Source organism: Homo sapiens, chromosome 10 (assembly GCF_000001405.40).
Source record: "Homo sapiens chromosome 10, GRCh38.p14 Primary Assembly".
Classification (NCBI taxonomy): Eukaryota; Metazoa; Chordata; class Mammalia; order Primates; family Hominidae; genus Homo; species Homo sapiens.
In genome coordinates, this window is record NC_000010.11 from 119,720,703 (window position 1) to 119,731,830 (window position 11,128).

Genomic DNA, 11,128 nt, shown 5'->3' on the forward strand with positions numbered 1-11,128 from the left:
TCTGCTCAGATATCTGCAGGCAGGAGGGATGAATAACCGGGTTCAATGGGGAACACATTTGTTCTTCCACCTTTTTGTTCTATTCTTGTCCTTAAGGATTGGATGACCACCATATAGATGAGGGCAGTCTTCTTTACTTAGTCTACCAATTCAAATGCTAATCTCTTCCGGAAACACCCTCACACACACATATCCAGGAATAGTGTTTTACCAGCTTTCTGAGTAGCTCTTAGCCTAGTCATGTTGACACATAAAATTCACCATCACAGCTTGTGAGTGTTTTGGGCCCTTAACCCTAAAGTTAAGCCACCTGTCAGACCTGCAATCCCGGCACTTTGGGAGGCCGAGGCGGGTGGATCATGAGGTCAGGAGTTCAAGACCAGCTTGGCTAACATGGTGAAACTCCATTTCTACTAAAAATACAAAAAATTAGCTGGGCGTGGTGGCACATGCCTGTAATTCCAGTTACTCGGGAGGCTGAGGCAGGAGAATCGCTTGAACCTGGGAGGTGGAGGTTGCAGTGAGCCGAGATCGCGCCAGTGCACTCCAGCTTGGGTAACAAGAGTGAAACTCCATCTCAAAAAAAAAACAAAAAACAAAAAACAAAAAACAGAGCCTGGGCAAGAGAAGGAGACTGTGTCTCAAAAATAAAAAGTACCGCTCCCTCTCCCTCTCCCTCTCCCCACGGTCTCCCTCTCATGTGGAGCCGAAGCTGGACTGTACTGCTGCCATCTCGGCTCACTGCAACCTCCCTGCCTGATTCTCCTGCCTCAGCCTGCCGAGTGCCTGCGATTGCAGGCACGCGCCGCCACGCCTGACTGGTTTTGGTGGAGACGGGGTTTCGCTGTGTTGGCCGGGCCGGTCTCCAGCCCCTAACCGCGAGTGATCCACCAGCCTCGGCCTCCCGAGGTGCCGGGATTGCAGACGGAGTCTCGTTCACTCAGTGCTCAATGGTGCCCAGGCTGGAGTGCAGTGGCATGATCTCGGCTCGCTACAACCTCCACCTCCCAGCCGCCTGCCTTGGCCTCCCAAAGTGCTGAGATTGCAGCCTCTGCCCGGCCGCCACCCCGTCTGGGAAGCGAGGAGTGTCTCTGCCTGGCCGCCCATCGTCTGGGATGTGAGGAGCCCCTCTGCCTGGCTGCCCAGTCTGGAAAGTGAGGGGCGTCTCCGCCCGGCCGCCATCCCATCTAGGAAGTGAGGAGCGCCTCTTCCCAGCCGCCATCACATCTGGGAAGTGAGGAGCGTCTCTGCCCGGCCGCCCATCGTCTGAGATGTGGGGAGCGCCTCTGCCCCGCCGCCCCATCTGGGATGTGAGGAGCGCCTCTGCCCAGCCGCGACCCTGTCTGGGAGGTGAGGAGCGTCTCTGCCCGGCCGCCCCGTCTGAGAAGTGAGGAGACCCTCTGCCTGGCAACCACCCCATCTGAGAAGTGAGGAGCCCCTCCACCGGGCAGCTGCCCCGTCTGAGAAGTGAGGAGCCTCTCCGCCCGGCAGCCACCCCATCTGGGAAGTGAGGAGCGTCTCCGCCCGGCAGCCACCCCGTCCGGGAGGGAGGTGGGGGGGGTCAGCCCCCCGCCCGGCCAGCCGCCCCTTCCGGGAGGGAGGTGGGGGGTCAGCCCCCCGCCCGGCCAGCCGCCCCGTCCGGGAGGGAGGTGGGGGGGTCAGCCCCCCGCCCGGCCAGCCGCCCCGTCGGGGAGGGAGGTGGGGGGATCAGGCCCCTGCCCGGCCAGCCGCCCCGTCCGGGAGGGAGGTGGGGGGGTCAGCCCCCTGCCCGGCCAGCCGCCCCGTCTGGGAGGTGAGGAGCGCCTCTGCCCGGCCGCCCCTACTGGGAAGTGAGGAGCCCCTCTGCCCGGCCACCACCCCGTCTGGGAGGTGTGCCCAACAGCTCATTGAGAACGGGCCAGGATGACAATGGCGGCTTTGTGGAATAGAAGGCGGGAAAGGTGGGGAAAAGATTGAGAAATCGGATGGTTGCCGTGTCTGTGTAGAAAGAAGTAGACATGGGAGACTTTTCATTTTGTTCTGCACTAAGAAAAATTCTTCTGCCTTGGGATCCTGTTGATCTGTGACCTTACCCCCAACCCTGTGCTCTCTGAAACATGTGCTGTGTCCACTCAGGGTTAAATGGATTAAGGGCGGTGCAAGATGTGCTTTGTTAAACAGATGCTTGAAGGCAGCATGCTCGTTAAGAGTCATCACCACTCCCTAATCTCAAGTAATCAGGGACACAAACACTGCGGAAGGCCGCAGGGTCCTCTGCCTAGGAAAACCAGAGACCTTTGTTCACTTGTTTATCTGCTGACCTTCCCTCCACTATTGTCCCATGACCCTGCCAAATCCCCCTCTGTGAGAAACACCCAAGAATTATCAATAAAAAAAAAATTAAAAAACAAAAAACAAAAAACAAAGTTAAGCCACCTGGACTGCTGACCTGCAACATTAGCAGCCTCCAGGCAGGCTGGGGGAGGGGGGAATATATTTATATAAATATAAATCTCTTCTTTTGGGAGATTTCTCATAGACAAGACTGAAGAAAGTTATCACAGACAACAAACAAGACTATGGACAAGTAGACAGAAGACAGGAGATGATGTTAAAGTCAAATCTCACCAGAGGATACCAAAATCTAATCCAAAGATCTCAGAGATATTGAAGGGCTAAATCGATAATCACAGTTGGCTTATTTACCATCATTTGTGTAGGTTTAACTACGTGGACACATTTCCTCACATTGATTTCAGCACTGGAAGGGAACACTTAGTGATCATCTCTTTTCATAAATAAGGACCCTGAGATCAAAAGAGATTGAGTGAACTGACCAAAATCACACAGAACTGGCTAGAACCAAACTCCTTAGTGATTATACTTAAATTAGCATATATATGCCATACACGTAAAAGAAGATATATAATATGTATGATGGTCATCTGTGTTTAAAAAGGAGAGCAGCATCACGTGAACTTTCCATTAAAACCTGGGTGGCATCGGGGCAGGAGGACCTTGAATTAGGAAGCTGGAAGAGGGTGATGAGGCTGGCAAGTTAGCCACAGGCCGAGGATAGGCTAGCCAGGGAGTGGAGAGGCTGCAGTGGCCAAGGTTCAGGAAGTTCATAGCAGAAACAAGGCAAGGCAACTGTGGCAGTAGATTGGGGATGTGACATCTACCAGGGACAGAAAATATGTGCTCTTTTCACTCTGCTCAGCCAGGCTAGAGCTGTGCCTACCCCACAGCATGTGTTTGGAGCCTGAGGGAGACAGCAGTGTGCATTGGGGTCAGATAATTACAGAAGCATCTCCCCTCCATGTTTTCCTCTCTCCTAAAGACTTTGCTTGTTAACTCTGCATTTACAGGTAACCAAGCCCATATGATGGCATTAGTTAATGACTGACTGCTGTTTTTTTCCAAGCTGCTGTCAGGCAGATTTTACTAATTAATTTCACTTAAAATAGTGGTGTTCAAGCCTGACTGCATAGTAAAGTCATCTGGGGAGCTTAGAAAAAATAAACAAACTGATGCCAGAGCCCCACCCCAATTAAATTCTGATTTAATTGGTCTAAGGTCCAAGCATTGATATGTTTGAAAAATTCCCCAGGTGATTCTAATAGGCAGCCAGGGTTGGAACCATGGATCTAAAACATCAGGAAAAGTTTCAATGAACTAATTAATTGTTTTAAAACAGTTACAACAGCATTGTTTTCTTCACATCTGGCAATGTAATTCATAAAACAATAATGAAATAATTTGCAGGATACAATGTCTTCATAGGATTTTCTCATTCTCATTTTTGCTAAGTCAACACATGGCTGAATTAAACAATCAATCTGAAACCGATGGTTCCACTGAAGCTTCTTATAGCTTCATTACCTTCTTTCTCCAAATCACATCACAAAGATTTGATAGAGTAACCACCTCCCTCGACCTTTATGTTGAGGTGTCTGGACAGCACAGAGGCATGGTACTTAGAAAAGATTCCAGGACGCTTTGTTATCATTGGACTTTCTGTGCTATGGAAATTCAACACTGTGGGCTGGAATAACTAGTCATGTGGAACTCCTTCCTGCTTTTGTACCCTCTCACTTTTACTTGAGCAGAAGGTTAAAAGTATTGCTTTCTGAGAAGTCCCATTCGGTCACTCCTCTCTCTCGCAAGAGAGACAGCTGTTCTCCCTTTTCTTTTGCCTATAAACTTCCGCTCCTAAACTAAAAAAAAAAAAAAAAAAAGTATTGCCTTATTTTTCTCATCTCCTACTTCTTGTCTTTTTCTCTTGTTTCCGATTCAGGCATTAGAGAAGGCAAGGAGTTAGGAGTAGGAAGACTCAATGATTTATAGAACTGGGGGTGTCATAAAAGGTCATTAGTTCAACCACCATCTGAGACCAAGAGACTTCCCCAAGATCACACAGCTAGATAGTCCTCGAACTGGCCCCGGAAGTGGGGGCCTCATTCTCCAGACCCATTCTGTTCAGGATATCAACTGGTTTTTCAAGACAGACTGAGCTCAAGGATGTTTGGGGGAGACTCCTCCTTCCCCGAGAGGGTCTCCATTCATCTTATCCTCGCCAAACGATATTCCTTCCGCTTGCTTCATTAACTGGCTCCATTTGTGAAGTCTTCTCCAAACCGCCCTGCTTAATTCGGGACACAGCAGCACCTGTACATTCCTCCCTTCCTCCTCGCTCTTTAGCCGCGTGCTGCTAATGCTTGTGTGTTTTCTATTGTTACATGCTTTCCCTCGTTGATGTGCATTTATTGAATGCCTCCTGTTGTCAAACTTCTAATAGGGAATACGAAAACAGAAGACGCCTCCGCTTGGCTGTGGGCCTGGCTGGGGATGAACCCCTGTAGCCAGGCCCCGGGGTCTCGCCTGGTTTCGGTACGGGCAGGCAGCGCAGGCCCGCGGGGAACGTACCCCGCACCGCTCCGGGAGAGCGGGTGTGGGGTTGGATTCAGGTCTCGGCCTGGCGAAGCGTGAGCGCCTCCCTGCACGGAGGGGAGGCCCCAGCGGTGGGCGCCTGTCCCCAAGGCCGCGCGGAGGGAGGCGGTCAGTCCAGACCGACTCGGCCGAGCTCCCGAGCTGCCACCGGTGACCACGACAGGAAGGCTGGCGCGCCGGGGGAGGGGCCTGGGCAAGAGCGGGAGGGGCGGGCGGAAGGACGAGAGGGAGGAGGAAAGACCCGCGGGGAGGAGCTGGGAGGAGACACCCGGGAGAAGGCGGAGGAAAGGGCAGGAAGCGGGAGGGAGCTGAAAGGAGGAGGAGGCTGAGGGGCGGAGCCGGGCGCTCGGGGAGAGTAGCCAGCAGAGGGGGTGGAGCCGGGCCTGGGGCGGAGCCAGGGAAGGGGAGGAGCGGGGGGGAGAGGCCTCTACGGCCGCCGCTGCCGCCGCCGCTGCCGGGGCGCGTTCTCCTCCTACCGGTCGGGTGCCCCGGGGCGTTCCCTCTGCCGCTGCTTCTCGGCGCGGTTCCTACCCGGCCGCTCCCCGAGGCGCGGGCTCTGGCGGCCTCGACCGACTAGGACGCCCCGTGCGCCGCCCGCGGGCCGCCGCCTCCCTGGGCGCGCGGGGCCAGCATGGAGCTCTTCCAAGCCAAGGACCACTACATCCTGCAGCAGGGCGAGCGCGCGCTGTGGTGCAGCCGCCGCGACGGCGGCCTCCAGCTCCGACCCGGTGAGGCTGGCGGTGCGGGCGGGGGGCACCCCGGGCCAGGGCGGGGAGAGGAGGGGGCGCGGCCGGACCCCTCAGCCGGGCGGGAGGAGCCGCCTGCGGGCCTGGTGAGGCGGGGCGGGGCGGGCTGCGAGCGCGCGAGCTGTCATTATTCCCTGACTGGAAGGAGCCTGGCCTTTCTCCGAGACAGCGCCGAGCCCCTACCCCAGTGCGGAGCAGAAGGGGCTGGCGACCCTCGTCCTTCCCACCGCGTCACGCGGCCGCCCTTGGGGCTTGGGGCCCAGGCCGAGGGGAGGGGGTCCCCTCCGGCAGAAAGTTCCAGCAAGGTGCACCTGGCCGTAAAGGCCTCTTCCTCCTTGGAGTAGTTCTTACATGGCCTTCGCCAGAAGTTCTGGGTTCGAATTCCGATCTGGAGCGGTTGCGCCAGTTCCGTCTAGGGCTCTGCTGGACACTCACTCCCTGTTGCCATCCCGTGTGTTCTTGGTCCCTTATTATTAAAGGTGTGACTTTACTGTGGTTACCTCATAGGCACTCGGTTTAAAGCCTTTGTCTTTGACTTTAATACCACAGCACAATTAAATTGTATTGTAATGTATAATTTTGAGATTTTTGTGTGACTTGATGTTGTGCGACACAAAATGTATTGTGGGTCCATGTTTGGGTGTCATGTAAGCTGTTCGGAGAGGCTTAAGTCTGCAATTAGCTTGCTTTAGGAAAATGTGTGTGCAGTCGTGGTTTAAACAGAGCAGTCCCTGCCCTCAGAGCGCTGACAGTCCAGTTTCTTGTAAGATGGGGCTGGGTGGCACCTGCCCCTTTTGGCTTGCTAATCCTTTCCTCATATCACTCAGAGATTCTTCCACTTTAGGGAAAGCGAGAGGATAGAGTTCTTTAAGGAAGGAGCCAGAGCTTTTCAGACTTACTTGTAATTCTTATGTGCAGTCTAGACAGAAGGATTACATGATATGAATTGAAAAGGATAAAAGGTTCAGATGAGCTTTTCAGATCACAGCGTGGTATCACTTATAGGATGGTTTTTAAGGACAGGCCCTTTAACATATTATTTCCAATCCCCACAGCAACCTTACAGGACACGTGTGGGATCCTCTTTTTCAGGTGAGGAGAAAGGAGTGAGAGGTTATTAGTAACTCGTTCGGGGTCACAGCCTAGAGTTGAGACACTGACACAGGGCAGTTCTGTGACCTCCAGAACACTTTTGGGCAGGCCCCACTGCTTTCTTAGGAAGGCCTACTAGTTGCTTTGCCAGAGCAGTGAAGGATAACTTATTTTTTTCCTCAGGCTCTGTCTATATTTTCTTGCTATTACGTTGTATTTCCTCTTTTCAGAATGGAGGATAAACTCCTTGGCCCAGATAAAGTTCTTGATGATCTCGGGATAGAGTTATTATGGATAGGCTAATTTTGGCCAGTCTTCTGTCATTCTCTTCTCTGATTTGACCATTTGTCTGGCTTTCTCCCCTTCCCTCCTTTCACTCCCCCAAATTTGGGTAAGGCTTCAGTACAGCTTGAAGTAAAGCAGATTTCAAAATTCCTAGGTTGTCAAAAGAGTCAACTCCTTGGATTCTAAAAGCTTAGACTATTAGAACTGGATGGGACTTAAGATCGTCTCCAACTCATCTGACAACAAACTTTTCTACACCCCAGTTTCTTGAACTATAAAGGCTAACCTGCGCCTAGATTCTTGGATGAAGCCATGCAGTTTGGATTACTGTTTGTTCAAAGTCCATGTCAGAAGGCAAATTTAAAACTTTTTTGGGGGAGGAAAGTAGCTATAGCCTTTGCACTTGAGATTGGCATACTTTTTAGAATATAGCGGGCCACAGACCAAGTAGACCAAATGTCTGGAGGAAGGAAGAGGCCATGTTTCAGAAGTAACAGCCAGTTTTGATCTTAAGGTGTTCAGGATAGCCAGGGAATAAAGAATCCCATGCACTTGATTTTCCTATAGTTTATCCTGTCCAGGACTGAAGATCCTTTCTAACTAATGGCTATTTAAGAATGGCATTTTAATTGAATAAGTGCTTTTCAGATCTTTTTCTGTATATGGAATCATTTAAAATTCTCTTTATTTTATTGGACTTTTCCCCTGTGCTTTTATGGCAAGTTTTGCTGCTGTTTGTAGTGACAGCATTTAAAATCTTTCATTGTTTCCTACTGGTTATTTAGCTGAATAGATTACTAAGTCCTTTTCTTTTTTGAAAGGGCAGTATTATAAGCTCAAAAAAGCTTGTGGGCATCGTGGTTTTTACATTCGTGACTATTGAACAACCTGAAACAAGAGTTTTCCTTTTTCTAGAGACATCAGAAGGATAAGTAATGATGATATTTAAGATTAAAATACTCATTTATTTAGCCTGGAATGTTTGTTACTGTCAACCCCTTTTCCTACCTAGTCCATTCCATAAGACCCAGCTCAGATGCTACCCCTCATCCTTGGGGCAGAATTATTGGCCACCTTTATTGTGTTTCCAGGCATTTTCTACACTTAGTGGACACTTCAATTCTAACCCTTATGCATCATCATAATAAAAGTTTGCCTACTTCTTCCCCGGTGGGAAGTCCCAGTGTGTTCCCCAAGGCAAGGGCTGTATTTACTCCTCATCTTGGTGTCTCTAGGCTTTAGAGTACTTAGGACAGAGAAGGCGTTTTTGTTTGAGTTGAGCTGAATTAAAGTTAAGTCTAAGTTCTCTCTCAGTAATATCATTGCCTTAAAAATAAGATGTTGTATTATGTTTGTTGCTCTTTTTAGGCCTGTTTTTTTGGGGGAGGGGGAAAGGGCGGGGCGGGCAGTGGACAGAGTCTTGCTCTGTTGCCCAGGCTGGAGTGCGGTGGCGTGTTCTCGGCTCACTGCAACCTCTGCCTCCTAGGTTCAAGCGATTCTCCTGTTTCAGACTTCTGAGTAGCTGGGACTACAGGTGTGTGCCACCTCACCCAGCTAATTTTTGTATTTTTTGTTAGAGATAGGGTTTCGCCATGTCGGCCAGGCTGGTCTCAAACCCCTGACCTCAGGTGATCTGCCCACCTCGGCCCCCCAAAGTACTGGGATTATAGGCTTGACCCACTGCGCCTGGCCTCTTTTTAGGGCTGTTTTGAATATATTTTAATTGGAGTGGAAAATCTCTGTCCATTTGGATGAGGAAATATGAGGAAAGGTACACCTGCACTTGTGTTATATTTCTATCTGATGTAGCATTATCTCATTATCTTTTTTTTTTTTTTCTGAGACAGGGTCTTGCTCTGTCACCCAGGCTGGAGTGCAGTGGCGTGATCATGGCTTGCTGTAGCCCCTACCTCCCGGCACCAAGCTATTCCTCCCACCTCAGTCCCCCAGGTAGCTGGGACTACATGTGTGTGCTACCACACCTGGCTAATTTTTTTTTTTTTTTTTTTTGGTAGAGATGGAGTCTCACTATATGGCTCAGGCTGATCTTGGCCTCCTGGGCTCAAGCGATCCTCCCACCTTGGCCTCACAAAGTGCTGGAATTATGGGCATGAGCCACCACACTGGGCTTTTAAAATATCTTTTTGGTAGTATTCCTTACTTTCCTCTTTAACATTATTTAAACTTTTTCAGGTTTTTTTTCTCCTAGTTAAAAAACGAAGTATTGTTTTTTTTCTGGTGTTTCTAATTTTTTTAAGGGTAATGAGTAATCTGTATTCATATATAGCAGTTTTTTGATAGATGCTTAGATGCTTATGTCTGTTGTAAGATAATGACTACTACTTCTCTTTTCTTTTTTTTCTTTCTTTTTTGAGACAGAGTTTTGCTCTTGTTGCCCAGGCTGGAGTGCAATGGTGCGATCTCGGCTCACTGCAACCTCCACCTCCCGGGTTCAAGCGATTCTCCTGCCTCAGCCTCCTGAGTAGCTGGGATTATAGGAACCTGTCACCACGCCTGGCAAGTTTTTGTATTTTTACTAGAGACAGGGTTTTGCCATGTTGGCCAGGCTGGTCTCGAACTCCTGACCTCAGGTGATCCACCCTCCCCGGCCTCCCGAAGTGCTGGGATTACAGGCATGAGCCACCGCGCCCGGCCTGGTTATTTTATTTTCTACAGGGAAAGTGATAAAGCACCGTGTAAACATTCAGTAATCTTCTGAGAGTAGAGTCTAATATCTCAGGATAAGAATTGTAATTTGAAGATTCAAAAAGAAATATAATACAATCCACTTTGGGGGAATGCTGATATGGTCTTATCTCTTTGGTCTTAAAATTGCTTCCTCTAGTCCTTGTGGCTTTGTCTGATATGACAGTATTATATAATTTATAGCTGTGTGTAAATTATATAATAATTCACATTCTGTTCTGAGACTGAGCGACCAAGAAGAGATCTCAAAGCATCTGTCATACACATAACATTCATAAACATAGAAACTGTATATGGAAAGGTGATACTCTAAGTGATGAATCCCAGTGAACTTTTTTTTTTTTTTGAGATTGAGTCTCGCTCTGTTGCCAGGCTGGAGTGCAGTGGCGTGATCTTGGCGCACTGCAACCTCTGCCTCCCAGGTTCAAGCAATTCTCCTGCCTCAGCCTCCCGAGTAGCTGGGACTACAGGCACGCGCCACCACGCCCAGCTAATTTTTTGTATTTTTAGTAGAGATGGGGTTTTACCATGTTGGCCAGGATGCTCTCGATCTCTTGACCTCGTGATCCGCCCGCCTCTGCCTCCCAAAGTGCTGGGATTACAGGCATGAGCCACCGCGCCTGGCCTGAACAATTTTTTGAGGGATACTAGGTATTAGTTAGAATTCACAGAAATGTTAAAAATTTTTTCTGTTCTTCTTAGAGTTAATTTTTGATAATGAAATTATTTTTACTATGTCATATGAGGTTAACTTTTTTGAATGAGAAATCATAATTATGGAATTGAAATCCACCTGGAATTTTTTTTTGAGGTATCATTTTTGTGAAATGATTCTGTTTATTTGGAGTTTTGTGGCATTTGGTATTTACTTAAAAAAAAAAAAGGATTTTGAACTTTATCTTTTTAAAAAATTCTGTTTGTAGCTAGGCATGGTGGCTCGCGCCTGTAATCCCAGCACTTTGGAAGGCCGAGGTGGATGGATCACTTGAGGTCAGGAGTTCAAGACCAGCCTAGCCAACATGGTAAAACCCCGTCTCTACTGAAAATACAAAAATTAGCTGGGTGTGGTGGCGGGTGCCTATAATCCCAACTACTCGGGAGGCTAAGCCACAAGAATCGATTGAACCTGGGAGGCAGAGGTTGCAGTGAGCTGAGATGGTGCCACTGTACTCCAGCCTGGGCAACAGAGTGAGACTGTCTCAGAAAAAAATATTGTGTTTACTAAAAATTTGCAAATTACCATGACAGAATTTAATAGGGCACTTTAAATTACATATTAAATGGCTTACAAAATCTTTCTGATCATTTTTGTTGTTGAATAACCAGGTTTTTTCTTAGTGTATTTAGTCTTCAGTTTTTATAATGGGTTA

General features: G+C 49.0%; 1 protein-coding gene across 26 annotated transcripts in view, besides 3 other annotated features; it reads left to right on the forward strand.

The window, feature by feature from the left end:
- Nucleotides 656-1,544: an enhancer, noted in NCBI's record as "H3K27ac hESC enhancer chr10:121480870-121481758 (GRCh37/hg19 assembly coordinates)". NCBI's record gives its function as "activates a minimal SCP1, AML or CMV promoter by ChIP-STARR-seq in naive H9 embryonic stem cells {active_cell/tissue: H9 hESC(naive)}" and the evidence as "EXISTENCE:reporter gene assay evidence [ECO:0000049][PMID:30033119]".
- Nucleotides 4,347-4,396: an enhancer, noted in NCBI's record as "active region_4132". NCBI's record gives its function as "activates an Ori minimal core promoter by ATAC-STARR-seq in GM12878 lymphoblastoid cells {active_cell/tissue: GM12878}" and the evidence as "EXISTENCE:reporter gene assay evidence [ECO:0000049][PMID:35858748]".
- Nucleotides 5,007-5,776: a silencer, noted in NCBI's record as "silent region_2881". NCBI's record gives its function as "represses an Ori minimal core promoter by ATAC-STARR-seq in GM12878 lymphoblastoid cells {active_cell/tissue: GM12878}" and the evidence as "EXISTENCE:reporter gene assay evidence [ECO:0000049][PMID:35858748]".
- Nucleotides 5,348-11,128, forward strand: part of INPP5F (inositol polyphosphate-5-phosphatase F) — a 103,098-nt gene continuing 97,317 nt past the window's right edge. For 24 of the 26 annotated variants that reach the window (NM_001441011.1, NM_001441009.1, NM_001441002.1 and 21 more), the window contains exon 1: nt 5,348-5,657. Coding sequence is in view for 16 of the 26 variants with exons in the window: in NM_001441002.1 (NP_001427931.1) it covers nt 5,561-5,657 (97 nt within the window). In the remaining 10 variants the exon portion in view is untranslated. Of the gene's footprint in view, nt 5,658-5,793; nt 6,155-10,681; nt 10,781-11,128 lie in introns of those variants that run through there. The other 2 variants (NM_001441001.1, NM_001441012.1) reach the window with 2 other exon arrangements.